The sequence below is a fragment of the Homo sapiens genome, chromosome 2, assembly GCF_000001405.40.
Source record: "Homo sapiens chromosome 2, GRCh38.p14 Primary Assembly".
Classification (NCBI taxonomy): domain Eukaryota; kingdom Metazoa; phylum Chordata; class Mammalia; order Primates; family Hominidae; genus Homo; species Homo sapiens.
In genome coordinates, this window is record NC_000002.12 from 207,784,172 (window position 1) to 207,803,178 (window position 19,007).

The window sequence follows — 19,007 nt, forward strand, 5'->3', positions numbered from 1 at the left end:
CCTGTAATCCCCCAACTTAGAGAGGCTGAGGTGAGAGGATTGCTTGAGCCCAGGAGTTTGAGATCAGCCCCTGGGCAACACTGGGAGATCCTGTCTCTACAAAAACTTAGCCAGGCATGGTAGCATGCACATGCAGTCCCAGGTACTTAGGAGGCTGAGGTGGGAGGATTGCTTGAGCCCAGGAGCTATGATTGTTCAACTACACTCCAGCCTGGGCAAACAAACAAACACACACACACACACACACACACACACCCATATATACATACATATATATATATATACACACACACACACACACACCCTCATATATACATACATATATATATATATATACACACACACACACACACACACACACACACATATGACTAGATCCTTTTTCAGAGGGGAAAATTATAGCTCAGAGAGATTAAGTGGCTTGTCCAAAGTCACATGCTTTATACGAGAAAGATAAAAAATTAAGTTTTTTTACCCTAAAATTTATGTCGTTTCTATTGAACTATGTCAGAGGCAGAGCCTGGAATGAGCAAGGCGGGTTGGGGGCAAAGAGGTCCACTTTGGTGGGACCAAGGAGACAGATGTAGAGAGTGACTCAGTGATAAGATTAAAAGGGTAGATGGGGCAACACTAGAGAGGGCTTTGGATGCCAAGATAATGATCTGGAATTTTGTTTAAGTGTTTGAGTGAGAGGCAGCATGCACAAAACTTTGTGTTGGGAGTGTAATCTAGCCATCCTAGGCTAAGCGGATTGTTGCAGAGGAGGTCTTCAGTTTAGGAGATTCCTGGAAACCATGATAGAAGCCCAGGAATGAAGTGAAGAGGCCCAAGCTAGGCTGGTGGGTGCAAAGGTAGAGAAAGACAGGCAGACATGAAGCCATCATTCCTCAGCCTACTCTGCCTGGACACGACTTTGACATTCCATAACACGCCTCCCTCCCTGGCAAGTCATAATTATCGTGACAGTTATCATCTCCAGTTTTGCAGGTGCATAATGCTGTGATTGTGCAAGATCTTGAGGGTCAAAGATCATCAGGTTCTACTTCCGTCTCTGGTTCTCTGTTCCCAGATTGTCACAGATTGAAAACTGATGGGGGCCATGTCTTCCAACAGAGATTCAGAACTGCACCCAGCCTGCTGGCTGTGTCCACCGAGAAATCAGAAACATAAATCCACTTCCTGAAAGCAAAGACTAAAGGGTAAAAGCAGTTCTTAAAAGTTATTTTTCTAGTATTCAAAATTCCAGAATTTTGATTGATTCTTTCATTAAAAGGGGGATAATTGGCCAGACGCGGTGGCTCAAGCCTGTAATCCCAGCACTTTGGAAGGCCAAGGCAGGTGGATCACGACGCCAGGAGTTCTAGACCAGCCTGGCCAATATGGTGAAGCCCCGTCTATACTAAAAATACAAAAATTAGCCGGGCGTGGTGGCACGCTCCTAGTCCCAGCTACTTGGGAGGCTGAGGCAGAAGAATCACTTGAACCTGGGAGACAGAGGTTGCAGTGAGCTGAGGTCGCACCACTGTACTCCAGCCTGGGCAACAGAGCAAGACTCCGTCTCAAAAAAAAAAGGGGGGGGGATTATTAAACTAATATGCAACTGTTAAAAAAATTGAGTATGAATGCTATTATGTAAAAAGGCCTATCCTCTATTGTTACGTGATAAAAGCAAGTAAAAACAATGTCATGTGCACTGCTTCTGCTAAAAGCATTATTTAACATCGTTTAAATATGAAGCCTGGGAGGCCATTCTCCAGGTCTGGGACAGGGTCGTGGAGAAGGGGACAGAATGGAAAAGCCAGTTTTTGCTTCTGCATTGTTATAGTAGTTTATAAGCAGGTTACGTTCCTAATGGAAAGGTTTTTTTAAAGCATTCAGAACATCCCAGAGCAGGTAACCCTCATACTGCCTTTCTCAAGCTCAAGACTACTTTAGGAAAATAGACAGAAATGCTGCTTAGGAAAATGCAGGCAGGGAGAGCAATAGTAAAGCCCTTCCTTGATTCTATGGACTTCTCCGGGCTAACTCCCCAACATACTGTAGTGTGGTTAAGAGCATGGACTTGTAAATTAGCTGGTCATGGTGGTGAGTACCTGTAATCCCAACTACTTGGGAGGCTGAGGCAGGAGAATCACTCTTGAACCCGGAAGTTGGAGACTGTAGTGAGCCGAGATCATGCCACTGCACACCAGCCTGGGTGATAGAGCAAGACTCTGCCCTCAGAAAAAAAAAAAGGAGCATGGACTTGTTTGGTTGAGCAAGTTACTTAATGTCTCTGGGCTTCAATTTCCTCAACCGTAAAATGGGCATGTTGTGATTAAGAGAGGTAAGATTAAATTAAATTAAATTAAATTAAATTACAATAAACATTAAGTTTGACATACTCATACAAGGATGTAATCTGTAGCCACAGAGTGATATTCACTAGCATGGAAAGATGTACAAAATACATTGTTGGTGAAAACAGCAAGTTATCAAACAGTATTTATAGACTAATCTCATTAAAATTATACACGGAATTCATTTTAAAAAATATTTTCTGAATTTTTGCAATGAGCATGTGTTACATTTAAAATCATAAAAGCCAATAAAGCTATTTTGATCTCGAAGAAAAAGATAAATATTTAAAATGTCACTTTGCGCACAGTGTCCAACACCCAGTTAAGCTTTCAATAATTACTGGCTATTACCGTTATTATCTACTTAACATATCAAACGCCTAAGTGACCTTCTACTTTCCCTTGACTCTTTAGATTTTTATTTACTTACCCATCTGTTAGAATGTGCACCCTATGAGGGCAGATTTTTTCAAGTTCTTTTAATTGTTTTTCTCCCCTGTTGACAAAAAGAATACATTCTTTCGGGAAAAAAGAAAAAAAAAAGAAATGTAAGAATCTGCCCTAATCTCAATCTCCAAAGATAATCATTGTAGATTATCTAAACACTGTTGGGCAACACTGAGAGCTTTTTCCTGTAAAGGGCTAGATAGTTAATATTTTTGGCTTTGTGGCCACACCATCTCTGTTGCAACCACTCAATTTTGCCCTTACAGCAGAAAAGCAATGTTAAGGAAAAATTATTCATGACTTTTTTTTTTTTTTTTGAGACAGAGTCTTCCTCTGTCACCCAGGCTGGAGTGCAGTGGCATGACCACGGCTCACTGCAGCCCCAACCTCCTGACTCAAGCAATCCTTCCACCTCGGCCTCCATCATAGTTGAGACTACAGTCTTGCACTACCATGGCCTGATAATTTTTTAATTTTTTGTAGAGACAGGTTCTCATTATATTGCTCAGGCTGGTTTTGAACTCCTGGGCTCAAATGAGCCTCCCTCCTTGACCTCCCAAAGTACTGGGATTACAGGTGTGAGCCACCAGACCTGGCTCACAACACTTGTTAAATATGGGAAGGGAGACTTTACTTAGGAGGCAACTATCACTGTAGGAATAGGGACCACCACAGTGGGGTCTTGCAGTGGGCTCAACTCCCGCAAGGGTAAGTGGAGATTTACAGCCAAGGAGCAGGCTTGGTGGCAGTGGATGGAAAATTACTCAGACGAAACATCAGGTGTAAGGGGGCTTCTTGCTAGACAAATTCAGTAGAATTCTTGTTGAAGGGAGACCAGGGTGATAAAGATATTGAGGGTGGGGGATGTTCACTAAACTAACGTAGTGGGATCTTGCTCCAAGTAGATTCTACAAGGACAGGGAGGGAAGCCCAAGGTCAGCTCAGTCAAGCAGAGGACTCAGGGGAGCCTGATTCAAGTTTGGTCAAAGGAGAGCGTCTCTGTGAGCAGCCAGACAACACCTAAACGAATAGGTGTGGCTGTGTTCCAGTAACACTTTATTTACAAAAACAGGATTCAGCCTGACTTGGCCCTGCAACCACAGTGTGCCACCCCTGCCGTAGAACCATGTGGTCCAACAGAAACATGATGGGAACCACATATGTAATTTTCCATTTCCTTGTAGTTTAAATAAAGGTGAGATGAGATCAATTTCTTTCTTTCTTTCTTTTTTTTTTTGAGATGGAGTTTTGCTCTTGTTGACCAGGATGGAGTGCAATGGCACGATCTCAGTTCACTGCAACCTCTGCCTCCCGGGGTTCAAGTGATTCTCCTGCCTCAGCCTCCCGAGTAGCTGGGACTGCAGGCATATGTCACCATGCCCGGCTAATTTTTTTGTATTTTTAGTAGAGACGGGGTTTCACCATGTTGGCCAGGATGGTCTCAAACTCCTGACATCAGGTTATCCAACCACCTCAGCCTCCCAAAGTGCTGGGATTACAGGTGTGAGCCACTGCACCAGGCTGAGATCAATTTCAATGTTATGTTTAATGTTCAACGTTATGTTTAATTTAACCCAATATACCCAAAATATTATTTCCTCACAAAATCAAAACATAATCAAATAATTACTAAAATATTTTACATTCTTGTATTTTACTAAATCTTCAAAATCTGCTGTGTATTTTATACACACGGCACATTTCAATTCAGACCAGCCACATCTCACATGTTCAATAGGCACCTGTTGGACAGCTGAGCTGTAGAATCTAGATTGTCAGCGGGTACAGTGGCTCATGCCTGTAATCCCAGCACTTTGGGAGGCCAAGGCAGGTGGATCACGTGAGGTCGAGAGTTCGAGGCCAGCCTGACCAACATGGAGAAACCCTGTCTCTACTAAAAATACAAAATTAGCCAGGAGTGGTGGCACATGCCTGTAATCCCAGCTACTCGGGAGGCTGAGGCAGGAGAATCGCTTGAACCTGGGAGGCAGAGGTTGCCGTGAGCCGAGATAGCACCATTGCACCCCAGCCTGGGCAACAGAGTGAAACTCTGTCTCCAAAAAAAAAAAGAAACTAGATTGTCTTTGTAAGCATATAATTACACACACACACACACACACACACACACACACACACACACACATTTGTTGTTGTTGTTGTTGCTGTTGTTGAGACCTAGTTTCACTTGTCAGCCAGGCTGGAATGCAATGGTGCAATCTCAGCTCACTGCAACCTCCGCTTCCTTGGGTTCAAGAGATTCTCCTGCCTCAGCCTCCTGAGTAGCTGGGACAACAGGTGTGCACCACCACACCCAGCTAATTTTTGTATTTTTAGTAGAGACGGGGTTTCTCTATGTTGGCCAGGCTGGTCTCGAACTCCTGACCTCGGGTGATCCACCCACCTCGGCCTCCCAAAGTGCTGGGATTACAGGCGTGAGCCACCATGCCTGGCCAATTACATATATTTTTAAAAACAAAAGTAGTATAATAACTTTTTACTAAATAATCTTTCTTAGAGATCTTTCCCTACCATTCTACAAAGATCAATTTGTATTTATTGGGCCAATTATAACATTCCATTGTTTAGATTTATCATATGCTATTTTGTCAGTTCCCTACTGATGGACATCTGCATTGTTCCTAATTTTGGATTGTTATTCAAAATAGTGCAGGGATTGTCCTTTTACATGTAAGTTTTGGCACTAGGCTGGGCGCAGTGGCTTACACCTGTAATCCCAGCACTTGGGAGGCTGAGGAAGGTGGATCACTTGAGCTCAAGAGTTCAAGACCAGCCTGGGCAACATGGTGAAATTCTGTCTCTACCAAAAATACAAAAAAATTAGCCAAGTGTGGTGGTGTGCCCCTGTGGTCCCAGCTACTCAGGAGGCTGAGGTGGGAAGATTGCCTGACCCCTGGGGTTGGGGGGCAGAGGTTGCAGTGAGCCGAGATCTCACCACTGTACTCCAGCCTGGGCAACAGGGCGAGACCCCATCTCAAAAAAAAAACACAAAAAACCAAAACTTTGGAACCTATGGGAGTATATCTTTAAAATAAATTTTTTGTAAATTGAATGCTGGGTCAAATCTATAATGACATTTAACTATTTACTAGCAATTGCCAATCTGGAGGGCTGAAATTCTACCTTGTTTTCCTTTTTTTTTGAGACGGCGTCTTGCTCTGTTGCCCAGGCTGGAGTGCAGTGGCAGATCTTGGCTCACTGTAACCTCTGCCTCCCAGGTTCAAGCAATTCTCCTGCCAGCCTCCCAACAGCTGGGATTACAGGCACGCACCAACATGCCCGACTAACTTTTGTATTTTTAATAGAGACGGGGTTTCGCCATGTTGGCCAGGCTGGTCTCGAACTCCTGACCTCAAGTGATCCTTCTGTCTCAGCCTCCCAAAGTGTTGGGATTACAGGCATGAGCCACCGCTCCGGCCTCTTGTTTTCCTTTGTATCTCCAGCATGTTGGCACTCCATGAATAATTGTTAAGTGAATAGATGGCTGAAAACCTCCCAACAGAGGTGTAGGGGATGAGGAAAGAAATAAGTAAATACAATGGAATACATGGAACAGTTAATGGCATATTAAGGAGACACAAATTGAAACCCCGGAGGTCATGTAGTGAAAGATGCTTGTTTAATATTTCAACAAGCTCCTCTGAGCTCAGCCCAGTTCCTACCCTCTTCAGAAAGCCTCTAGGCCTTGGGCCTCAGGCTATGGCATTTGGGGTTTCCCTGGAAAAGTGCTCTCTATCAGTGTGAATATCAGTCTACCCTGTTGTGAGCAGGACAGAGTGGAGCAGGGAGAGGGGCAGTTGAAGTTTCTACCATATCCCAGGAACATCAGGAAACCCCCTGCTCTGCAGAATCAGATGGACTCCCAGAAGGTTGGGAGTCCCATCTGTGGAGGTCTTTCACACCAGCCCACTGCCCTTCTGGAATAGGGGAGGCTTTCTCCCCAAGACACAACAACTTGTCACCACCATGGCAAGGAAGGTTCTACTCTCCAGTGGCCAAGCACATGGCTAGAAAATCTGTCTACAAAAACCTGAACTTGTCTTGAGGTCTCCCTTCCTCCACCAGTTGAGAACTCTCCCCTGGTACTATCTCTCAAACCAGTGCCTCTGGCCACATTCCCAGCCTTGCCTGGTCCTGTCCAGCCACAGCTAGAGCCTCCCGGCTAGCCTCCCACCCATCAGTGTCCCTTGTGCTCCAGTTTTTCCACTCCCCAGCCAAATCCTCATCCCTAACATCATGAAACCTGGCTTTTATGCAGCACCCCTAAGAAGGCAGGGTCTGGCTTCTGTGCCTTTCTCAGAGCCTGCCCTGGAGATTAGCATGTAATCACTGTTAAATAAAAGGACAAAACAATCACTGGATTTGCAAATTGAACAATTTGCTATCCAAGGTCTTCCTTATGGAATAATTCATTGGACAAGTACTATCAAGTGCCAGTGATATGCCACGCACTGTGCCAGATAAACCTGAAGGACAGGGTCCCTTAAATTCATGGAGCTCATGATCTCTGATCCATATCTAACACTTCCCTAAACAAATTATTTTCACAGCTCCCCAAAAACATCCATGGATCGTTCTTTACTTTTATTCAGTGCAAATGTTTATTTCAGCACCTATGATGTACTAGCATGATGCTAAACTATAGCTTTTAATTTAGTCCTCAAAAGACTCCTCCAAGGAAGGTAGCACTGGCTCCACTTTGTACCTGGGGAAAATGAGATGAGGTAACTCCCAGTTCCACATCTGCCCACTAGCAAGTGGAGTCAGCATTCCAGCCCAGGCCTGCCTCTCTTAGCGTCCAACCCTGTCCTCCTGGAGCTCTATTACCTGGCAAGAAGTATTTGACCCTCCAGGGATGGGGGCATTCCAGTCCAGATAAACACCTGGAGCCTAGCAGGCATTCACTGGTGTGGGGGGTGGGGGGCGGGGGGGCAAGAGGGGTTGGGCGCGGTGGGGGTGGCTGGGGGAGCTGTTGCATTTGACTGGGGAACTGGAAATAAAGATATTGAGAGAGAAAACCGGGAGAGATGGGAAGTTGCTGTTTGCAGAGTTTCATGAATTGCTTATCTCTACATCCCCAAACCTTAGTCCTCAGCATTTCTCATTGTCACTTCTAATAACACATTTCCTTATTTTATTATGGGACTGCTTTATACATGTTGCTGAATGGAAGCTCCCTGAAGTGCCTGGATGTTAGGTGGCTTGTCCAAGCTCCCTTGGTTAGTAGTGGGCCGGGACTAGAATCCAAGCTTACTTTCCAGATTACATAGAAGGAGGTGCAGAAGACCGGAATCTCCTCCCCCTTCCCCCCCTCCCCCCACCCCCCCCCACCCCGCCACAGCTCAACTGTGAGCTGGAGGCTGAACAAAGACAGAACTTCCTGGATCTAGATGAGTCACTGGTTTGTTCTTCCCTAGCCACCTCCAGAAAGCCATGCTGAACATGCCATTTTCCTCACTTGGACTCAGTGGTGGGGAGCCTGACCACGTCTTCTCACCTCCAAGACGGGGCAAGGAGTTGGCTAATGGCCCAGCTTCATTCCTGGGGCATCTACCTTTGAAAATGTGTGCTCCTACTTGGAGCTCTTTAGCATGACTGCTCTCTTTACACATGAGGGGACTGGGGTCCTGAATGATTGACTCACCAAAGACAAAGTCAGTCCCAGGAGAAGCGAGAGCTGGCTGAGGTCTTACAAATCCAAGTTCCTGGTATCTCCTACTCTAAAATGCTGCCGCCTCCCATTCCAGCTTATATTTTCCCCCAAACTCTCTTTGCCTCCATTTTGTCCAGGCAGTGAATCTTGAGGTACTGAGTGACAGGAAGAATGTGGAAAACAGTCAGCTTTAATCCAGCCATTCTGCTCCTAGACATTCACCCAAGAGAGGAAAAACACCTATCTTCAAAAAGACTTAGACATGTTTTTTTTTTTTGTTTTTTTTTTTTTTTTTTTTTTTGCTGTGTTTGTTTTTTAGAGACAGAGTCTTGCTCTGTCGCTCAGGCTGGAGTGTGCAGTGGTGCGATCTCAGCTCACGGCAACCTCTGCCTCCTGGGTTCAAGCAATTCTTCTGTTTCAGCCTCCTGAGTAGCTGGGATTACAAGCGTGTGCCACCATGCCCGGCAAATTTTTGTATTTTTAGTAGAGATAGGGTTTTGCCGTGTTGGCCAGGCTGGTCTTGAACTCCTGACCTCAGGTGATCTGCCTGCCTCACCCTCCCAAAGTGCTGGGATTACAGGCATGAGCCACCGCACCCGGCCTTTCTCTGTATTTTTATTTGTAATAATCAAAAACTGAAAACAGTCCAGGTGTCAACTGACAGATGAATACGCAAATTGTGGTAGATCCATGCAACAGGTTATTACTCATCAATAAAAAAGAACAAACTAGCCGGGCGCAGTGGCTCGTGCCTGTAATCCCAGCACTTTGGGAGGCTGAGGCAGGCAGATCATGAGGTCAGGGGTTCGAGACCAGCCTGACCAACATGGTGAAACGCCATCTCTACTAAAAATACAAAAATTAGCTGGACGTGGTGGCCCACACCTATAATCCCAGCTACTCGGGAGGCTGAGGCAGGAGGATCGCTTGAACCTGGGAGGCGGAGTTTCCAGTGAGCCGAGATCGCGCCACTGCACTCCAGCCTGGGCGACAAAACAAGACTCTGTCTCAAAAAAAAAAAAAAAAAAAGGAACAAACTACCGATCCATATGACCGCATGAATGAAGCTTAAGAAATTATGTTGAGTGAAAGAAGCTAGAGACAAGAGTACATGCCATATGACTCTGCTTACACGATGTTCTAGATCATGCAAAACTAGAAATCAGGTCCATGTTTGCTTGCAGGGGCTGGAAGGATAGGAAGATGCACAGAGGACAGAAGGAGAAGACGATTACTTGGAAAGGGGCATGAGGAAAGTTTTTTGGGTTCATCTTAAAAATGTTCCATATCCTGCTTTTTGGGTTTTGTTTTGTTTTGTTTTTTTGAGACAGAGTCTCTCTCTGTCGCCCAAGCTGGAGTGCAGTGACAGGATCTCGGCTTACTGCAACCTCTGCCTCCTGGGTTCAAGCAATTCTCCTGCCTCAGCCTCCTGAGTAGCTGGGATTACAGGCTCCCACCACCATGAACAGCTAATTTTTTGTATTTTTAGTAGAGACGGGGTTTCACCATGTTGGCCAGGCTGGTTTTGAACTCCTAACCTCAGGTGATCTGTCTGCCTCAGCCTCTCAAAGCACTGGGATTACAGGTGTGAGCCACTGTGCCCAGCGAAAAATGTTCCATATCTTGATAGGTGTGTAGGTTACACAGATGTAAGCATTTGTTAGAACTGACCAAATTGTACACAAGATCTGTGCACTTGGATATCATAAGTTCTAACTACATTTGAAAGATGGGGGAAAAGGTAGTACATGACTGTTGCAAAACTATATAGAAGTAAAGAAGTAAGCAAAAATTATTCCTTTTTGGGGGGCGGGGACGGAGTTTCACTCTTGTTGCCCAGGCTGGAGTGCAATGGCACAATCTCAGCTCACCACAAACTCCGCCTCCTGAGTTCCAGCAATTCTCCTGCCTCAGCCTCTGGAGTAGCTGGGATTACAGGCATGCGCCACCACGCCCGGCTAATTTTCTATTTTTAGTAGAAATGGGGTTTCTCCGTGTTGGTCATGCTGGTTTCTAACTCCAGACCTCAAGTGATCCGCCCACCTTGGCCTCCCAAAGTGCTGGGATTACAGGCGTGAGCCACCGCACCCGGCCAGCAAAAATTATTCTTATTTCCCCATATTCAAATTTCACATCTCTGAGTTAACTGCTATTCATTCTTTCATGCAATAACCTTCCAGAGACCTTTTCTGGGCATATATGAATGTAATTCTGTGTAATGGGCTCACCCTGTACCTCACACTGTAACTGGCAATGGGAGAGGAAGAAGCTACAAAATTGAAAACAGCCGTTTCTGAATCTCAACAATTTCCTGTTCTTCTGTTTTAATATTAACTATTTTTCCATGTTAGAGCCCTCAGAAAGATTTTGTGGATGCCACTAATGGGTAAAAGAACATTTTGAAGATACTGTTTTTTTCTGAATTGTTTTTCTTTTGAAGAGCCACACCCTTCCATCCCACCTCATCCCAGGCTCCCATCTCCTCAGCCCCCTCTTCTTTCTTTCTTTCTTTTTTTTTTTTAGACGGAGTCTTGCTCTGTCACCCAGGCTGGAGTGCACTGGCTCGATCTAGGCTCACTGCAATATCCACCTCCCAGGTTCAAGTGATTCTCCTGCCTCAGCCTCCCAAGTAGCTGGGTCTACAGGCATGTGCCACCGTGCCCGGCTAATTTTGTATTTTTAGTACAGATGGGGTTTCTCCATGTTGGTCAGGGTGGTCTTGAACTCCTGACCTGAGGTGATCCATCTGCCTCGCCCTCCCGAAGTGCTGGGATTACAGGCATGAGCCACCATGCCTGGCCTCCCTCTTCCTTCTTGACATCTAAGGTGACACTGTCTAATCCCCATTGCCTATTTTTCCATTTCTTTTTCTTTTTTTTGAGACAGAGTCTTGCTCTGTTGCCTAGGCTGGAGTGCAGTGGCACAATCGTGGCTCACTGCAACCTCCGCTTCCTGAGTTCAAGCAATTCTCTTGCCTCAGCCTCCCGAGCAGCTGGGACTACAGGCGCCTGCCATCGTGCCCAGCTAATTTTTGTATTTTTAGTAGAGATGGGGTTTCACCATGTTGGCCAGGCTGGTCTCAAACTCCTGACCTCGGGTGATCCACCCACCTCAACCTCCCAAAGTGCTGGGATTACAAGCATGAGCCACCGTGCCTGGCCTTTTTTTCCCATTTCAACTGTGCAAAATCCTGTCATCTTTCATGGGCCTGAGCCCTCTTGAGGTACATGGAGACAGTGCTGATCTCTCATAGGCTAGATCAGTGGTTTCCCAAGAATGAGGACTGTTTTTAAAAGTCTAAACACCCCAAAGATGGCCCTTTATGACACTTTTTATATCTACTGAATGGGAAAATACAGAAAAGAAAAGCATATTAATTAAATGCAATGCTTCTAAATGGATTTGCATTTTATTAACTATAAGAATATCTACATGCGGCCGGGTGTGGTGGCTCACGCCTGTAATCCCAGCACTTTGGGAGGCCAAGGCGAGTGGATCATCTGAGGTCAGGAGTTCGAGACCAGCCTTGCCTACATGCTGAAACCCTGTCTCTACTAAAAATACAAAAAATTAGCCCGGCATGGTGGCACATGCCTGTAATCCCAGCTACTTGGGAGGCTGAGGCAGGAGAATCACTTGAACCCAGGAGGTGGAGGTTGCAGTGAGCTGAGATCGTGCCATTGCACTCCAGGCTGGGCGACAGAGCAAGACTCTCTCTCGAGGAAACAACAAAAAAAGAATATCTACACGCATTAAAATATTACTAAAATAATAGTAATAGCAGTTACTATTTATTGTGTACTTGTTATGTGCCAGGTATTTTGCTAAGTGCTCTCCATGCATTTGCCTATAATTTGGCCCATAACTCCTCAGGGTGGATACCATTTTATCCTCATTATACATTATGAGGAAACTGAGGCACAGAGAACATTAGTAACTTGCCCAAGCTCCCACTGATGGGCAGTGGGGGCCTAGAATTCAGAGTCTGACAGGCACAAAGGATGTAGTGCCACTTGATCCTGCCTCTTTTATTTACTTGCTCTGCAGACAAGATTTGGCTTGTCTCCAAAGCCAAATGAGTTCTCCAGTCCCTGGCTTAAACTCCCAGGAATGAGACTGCCAGGAGGGAGTCACAGGCTATTTGGGGAAGATGGGTGCCGAGCGCTCAGCCTCAACCTGTTGGCTGGCCTGGGACCCCACTAACTCCGGCCCCGTTCTTGGGACATATTTCAGTCCTCTGAGCTCAGGGGGCTTGAGTAGCTCTGCCCAGGCAGGGCTTGTCCAAGTGTCCCCAGATGCTGGAGGGGTTAACAGTTGAGAAGCTGTTTGCAGACCATTAGAAACAATAATCACCTTACCTGTAACCTGATCTACCTCAAAAGAAGGGTCTTGATTTTAGCAAACAGTGTAAGTGGCCTCTGTGTAAAGTGGAGGGGTGGAGCCGGCTGCCTGACTGCTTAGCTCTTGTTTCTCAAGCCAGGCCCAAGGGTCAATTCCTGGGCCTACAGGGTGAGCTCACACCCTTTTCTGGCTGCTTTCTCCCCTTGGAATTCTGAAAACGGCTGCCCTGTGTGCAGTGAGTTGCTACAAGCCCCACATGGCTGCTCTCCTGGCCCAGCCAGGGGGAGCAAGTAACTTTCTGTTTGAGGTCCTCTTGACCAAGAACAGTCACGAACTCTTTCCTGTGCACTCAAGGGCACACTCTTCTTTAATCCTCGCCTCTAAGCATGATTGCTTGCTGTGCTTTCCAATTCACAGGTGAGAAAGAACAGACTTAGAGACAGCAGTGTGAGGAAGCCAGAGCTGGTTGTTAAACTTCAAGAATTTAGTGGCCGGGCATGGTGGCTGAAGCCTGTAATCCCAGCACTTTGGGGGGCCGAGGCGGGCAGATCACGAGGTCGGGAGATCGAGACCATCCTGGCTAACACGGTGACACCCTGTCTCTACTAAAAATACAAAAAATTAGCTGGGCATGGTGGCGGGAGCCTGTAGTCCCAGCCTCAGCTACTCGGGAGGCTGAGGCAGGAGAATGGCGTGAACCCGGGAGGCGGAGCTTGCAGTGAGCCAAGATCGTGCCACTGCACTCCAGCCTTGATGACACAGCGAGACTCCGTCTCAAAAAAAAAAAAAAAAAAAAGAATTTAGTAAGCGAATGGTTAAACATAGCCATTGGTAAGCCTGAGGTGGGAGGACTGATTGAGCCCAGAAGTTTGAAATCAGCCCGGGGAACACAATGAGACCTCGTTTCAAAAAATAAATAAATAGGCTGGGCGCGGTGGCTCACACCTGTAATCCCAGCACTTTGGGAGGCCGAGGTGGGTGGATCACTTGAGGTCGGGAGTTCGAGACTAGCCTGACCAACATAGTGAAACCGCGTCTCCACTAGAAATACAAAAATTAGCCGGATGTGGTGGCACATGCCTGTAATCCCAGCTACTCGGGAGGCTGAGGAAGGAGAATCTCTTGAACCCAGGAGGCGGAGGTTGCAGTGAGCTGAGATAGCGCCATTGCACTCCAGCCTGGGCAACAGAGTGAGAGTGCCTAAAAAAAAAAATAAATAAAAAGTTTATTACATAAACTTATAATTAAGTAAATTATGTTTAGAACAAAGGTAATAAATACACAGAACTCATCACTTACTAATTATTTGACTGTGTTTGTATCTGTGCTTTGGAGGTTACGTCTGTTGTATCTGTATGGTAGAAGTTCTGTGGAATATAGTGTGCTAGTCTACTGCTTTTCCCAACTCTCCATTTAGCGACATCATGCTGGTAACTTGAAACTGGTCATGGTGGTGTCAGAAGCGTTTGAACCAGAGCGACTCCATCTTGGACAGGGACTGGGTAAAATAAGGCTGAGACCTACTGGGCTGCATTCCCAGGAGGTGAAGACATTCTAAGTCACAGTGTGAGATAGGAGGTCAGCACAAGATACAGGCCATAAAGACCTTGCTGATAAAACAGGTTGCAGTAAAGAAGCCGGCAAAAACCCAGCAAAACCAAGATGGCCAGGAGAGTGACCTCTTGTCGTCCACACTGCTCATTATACGCTAATTATAATATATTAGCATGCTAAAAGACACTCCCACCAACCCCATGACAGTTCACAAATGCCGTGGCAATGTCAGGAAGTTACCCTATATGGTCTAAAAAGGGGAGGAACCCTCAGTTCCAGGAATTGCCCACCCCTTTCCTGGAAACCTCATGAATAATCTACCCCTTGTTTAGCATATGATCAAGAAATAACCATAAAAATGGGCAACCAGCAGCCCTTGGGGCTGCTCTGCCTAGTCATTCTATAGTCCTTTACTTTCTTAATAAACTGGCTTTCACTCTTATGAATTTGCCTCAAATTCTTGTGCAAGATCTAAGAACCCTCTCGGGGTCTGCATTGGGGCCCTTTCCGGTAACCGTGTGGGTATTTACACCACAAGAATTGACGGGGCCGGGCGCGGTGGCTCACGCCTGTAATCCCAGCACTTTGGGAGGCCGAGGCGGGTGGATCACGAGGTCAGGAGATCAAGACCATCCTGGCTAACACGGTGAAACCCCGTCTCTACTAAAAATACAAAAAATCAGCCGGGCATGGTGGCGGGCGCCTGTAGTCCCAGCTACTGGGGAGGCTGAGGCAGGAGAATGGCGTGAACCTGGGAGGCGGAGCTTGCAGTGAGCCGAGATCGCGCCACTGCACTCCAGCCTGGGCGACACAGCGAGACTCCGTCTCAAAAAAAAAAAAAAAAAAAAGAATTGACAAATGTACAGATCAGGGCTTGCATTTCTTTCCAAGCTCCTACTGATGGGCAGAGTGCTGGTTGTTAAACATTGACCAGTACCCTAGTGCTTAGAGAGGTCAACTAACTTGACAAGGTCACAGGGCTCATGGTGGAGCCAAGCAGACAGCTGGACTCCAGAACACTTATTGCTGTGCTATTGTATCTCTTCAAAAATAATAAAGAATAACTTCGGGCCGGGCGTGGGGGATCATGCCTGTAATCCCAGCACTTTGGGAGGCTGAGGCGGGCAGATCGCCTGAGGTCAGGAGTTACAGACCAGCATGGCCAACATAGTGAAACTCCATCTCTACTAAAAATACAAAAATTACCTGGGGGTGGCGGCAGCACCTGTAATCCCAGGTACTCGGAGGCTGAGGCAGGAGAATCGCTTGAACCCGGGAGGCGGAGGTTGCAATGAGCCGAGATCGCACCATTGCACTCTAGCCTGGGCGACAACAGTGAGACTTCGTCTCAAAAAAAAAAAAAAAAAAAAAAAAAGAATATCTTCAAAAATCAATTTCTAGGAAATAGTAGACTTGAAGGAGGGCTAATGGTTAAATAATGGTTAAAGATTAAGAGACTTAAAGGCATACCATTCCATCACAGTAGTCGTACTTTCTTCTGATTAAAATAAAGTGTAAAAAAATTATGTAATTGATGAAGCATTTGCAAATGTGAGCACTCATTAGATGATTATTGGTATGAATGAATTATTATTTTTCAGTGTATTATCTTTTTTTGTTCATATTAATGTATCCAACTGAGTAAGTATATTATGTTTTACAGCACTGAATATTTAAGAAGAAATGATGTAATGTCTGGGATTGGCTTTGAGAAAAATAATACCAGAAAGGAAAAGTGACTAGGCATACAGATCAGTGGTTCTCAAAGTGGTTGCCAAAGGGCAGCATCAGCATCACCTGGGAACTTGTCTGAAATGCAAGTTCTCAGGTCCCACCTCAGACCTAGTGGATCAGAAATCCTGAGAAGGGGCTAAGCACAGTGGCTCACACCTGTAATCCCGATACTCTGGGAAGCCGAGGCGGGCAGATCATCTGAGGTCAGGAGTTCTAGACCAGCCTGACCAACATGGCGAAACCCCGTCTCTACTAAAAGTACAAAATTAGCTGGGCGTGGTGGTGCATGCCTGTAGTCCCAGCTACTAGGGAGGCTGAGGCAGGAGAATCACTTGAACCCAGGAGGCAGAGGTTGCAGTGAGCCGAGATTGTGCCACTACACTCCAGCCTGGTGACAGAGAGAGACCCTGTCTCAAAAAAAAAAAAAAAAAAAAAAATATTACCGGGCGTGGTGGCACGTGCCTGTAAATCCCAGCTACTGGGGAGGCTGAGGCAGGATAATCGCTTGAACCTGGGAGGTAGAGGTTGCAGTGAGCCAAGATCATGCCATTGCACTCCAGCCTGGGTGACGGAGCAAGACTCTTATCTCAAAAAAAAAAAAAAAAAAAAATCTGAGATGGGGTCCAGCGATCTGTGTTTCAACAAGCTCCCCCCAGCTGATTCTGATACACACTCAAGCTTGAGAAACACTGGTTTAGATGAAACAAGATTCACCATGAGTTGATAGTTGTTGAGGCTGGTGACAGGTACATGGGGTGGGGAGTTCACATGTGTTTTTGAAATTTTCTATAATAAAAAGTTAAAAGAAATGATTAAGCACATTGGAAGGGAGGAGTGTACATATAATGGGGGAAGGGTCATTGCTGGAGGACCTCTGGATATAGAGTGAGACAAAACAGATTCTTGTGCATGCATCTGTGTTGCCTTTTGAATTAAACATCCAGGATAATGGTTGCATTAGCTCCTGCCTTTAACAGGAAGCTCTGCTCCCCCACCCCGCCCCCCACCAACCCCAGTTCCTCAGGTTTCTCTTCATTTGGAGCCTAAGTTTTAACAGGATTAGATCCTGGAGCCTCAAATCTCTTAGAGAAGCAGCGATTTGAATTTTCAGCTTCCACCTGAAACTGTGTCACTGTAAAATATGCCACCCACTAGACCTGCTTTATCAGCTGCAGACATGATGCAATTAACTAATTTTCTGCAACCTCTCACCACACAAGCCGTGGAACTTCTAGTCCATTGTGTGGCTCGTTTACTTAGCAGATAGGGTCTAAGAGCCTGTAACTATTTACCTCCCTCTAGAGGGGCTGTCCCAGACAGGTGAATTCATTAGTTGGTGTTTGTAAAGCAGCAGGAAAACCAAAAAAGCATTAGGCAAGTTTTTATTTTTATTTCTTTATTTGGCCTGAACGCCACTCAAGCGATGTCCTGTCCTGTCCTGCGTTGTCAGTTTGCCTCCCTTCATATCCACCCCCTCTTCTCTCTAGCCCATTTTTCTCTTATTCAGAAATGAGAGATGCCCACAACTGGAAAACTCTTCCCATTTTGTCCCAGAGGATGCAAAGTTCTGCCTGCCCATCACATGGGATCAGCGATCTTTAGGTTTTTTCATTTAAATGCCAAGGCATCTCTGCTTCCTGTTTCAGGTGTCCTTCTGCCCCATCTTTGAGCAGTGGTCTTTTCTTTCTTTTCTTCTTTCCCCACTTCCATTTTCTCTCCTCTCTCTTTTTTTTTTGAGACAAAGTCTCGCTCTGTTGCCCAGGATGGAGTGCAATGGCACCATCTCGGCTCATTGCAACCTCCACCTCCTGGGTTCAAGTGATTCTCCTGCCTCAGCCTCCTGAGTAACTGGGGTTACAGGCAGGCACCAAAACGCTAGGCTAATTTTTGTATTTTTAGTAGAGACAGGGCTTCACCATGTTGGCCAGGCTGGTCTCGAGCCCCCCGACCTCAGATGATCCACCTGCCTCAGCCTCCCAAAGTGTTGGGATTACAGGTGTGAGTCACCACGCCCGGCCTCACTTGGTTGTTTTTTTTTTTTTTTTTGAGACGGAGCTTCACTCTTGTTGCCCAGGCTGGAGTTCAATGGCGCAATCTCGTCTCACTGCAACCTCCACCTTCCAGGTTCAAGCAATTCTCCTGCCTCAGCCTCCCAAGTAGCTGGGATTACAGGCATGTACCACACCCCTGGCTAATTTTTTGTATTTTTAGTAGAGACAGTGTTTCACCATTTTGGCCAGGCTGGTTTCGAACTCTTGACCTCAGGTGACCCACCCGCCTCAGCCTCCCAAAGTGCTGAGATTACAGGCATGAGCCACTGAGCCCCAGCTCCCTTGTATTTTTCATAGAAAAGGCACAAGGAAGAAGTTCAATGATGAGAAGGAAGAAAGAATATTCCTCAAGTGTAATTAAAGGTAGGAAAAATGACAGTTCTTTTGGAATCCAAGTTTGAAAATATTTCTTTTTAATGTGGTAGGATAAAACAAAGCATAACAGTAAATTGACCGTTTAACCATTGTTAGGTGATAGTTCAGTGGCTAAGTACATTCACACTGCTGTGCAACCGTCGTCATCAGCACTTCCAGAACGTTTTCGTCATCCCATACTGAACTCTGTACTCATTAAACGTGGAATCCCCATTTCCCCTCCCCACCCCTGGCAATCACCACTCACTTTCTATTACATCTCTGTGAATTTGACTACTCTAGGTACCTCATATAACTGGAAACCTACAGTATTTGTTTTTTTGTGTCTAGCTTAGTTTAGCATAATGTCTTCAAGGTTCATTCCTATTGTAGCATATGTCCAAATTTCATTCCTTTTTAAGGCTGAATAATATATATATATTATAATTATATATGATGTATAATGTATACACATCATACATATATGTATGCATAATATATACACAACATACATAT

The 19,007-nt window shown here is 45.7% G+C and overlaps 4 annotated features.

Annotated features, from left to right (window-relative positions):
* Positions 11,577–12,562: an enhancer, noted in NCBI's record as "NANOG-H3K27ac-H3K4me1 hESC enhancer chr2:208660472-208661457 (GRCh37/hg19 assembly coordinates)". NCBI's record gives its function as "activates a minimal SCP1, AML or CMV promoter by ChIP-STARR-seq in primed H9 embryonic stem cells {active_cell/tissue: H9 hESC(primed)}" and the evidence as "EXISTENCE:reporter gene assay evidence [ECO:0000049][PMID:30033119]".
* Positions 12,563–13,547: an enhancer, noted in NCBI's record as "NANOG-H3K27ac-H3K4me1 hESC enhancer chr2:208661458-208662442 (GRCh37/hg19 assembly coordinates)". NCBI's record gives its function as "activates a minimal SCP1, AML or CMV promoter by ChIP-STARR-seq in primed H9 embryonic stem cells {active_cell/tissue: H9 hESC(primed)}" and the evidence as "EXISTENCE:reporter gene assay evidence [ECO:0000049][PMID:30033119]".
* Positions 17,524–18,025: an enhancer, noted in NCBI's record as "H3K4me1 hESC enhancer chr2:208666419-208666920 (GRCh37/hg19 assembly coordinates)". NCBI's record gives its function as "activates a minimal SCP1, AML or CMV promoter by ChIP-STARR-seq in naive H9 embryonic stem cells {active_cell/tissue: H9 hESC(naive)}" and the evidence as "EXISTENCE:reporter gene assay evidence [ECO:0000049][PMID:30033119]".
* Positions 18,026–18,525: an enhancer, noted in NCBI's record as "H3K4me1 hESC enhancer chr2:208666921-208667420 (GRCh37/hg19 assembly coordinates)". NCBI's record gives its function as "activates a minimal SCP1, AML or CMV promoter by ChIP-STARR-seq in naive H9 embryonic stem cells {active_cell/tissue: H9 hESC(naive)}" and the evidence as "EXISTENCE:reporter gene assay evidence [ECO:0000049][PMID:30033119]".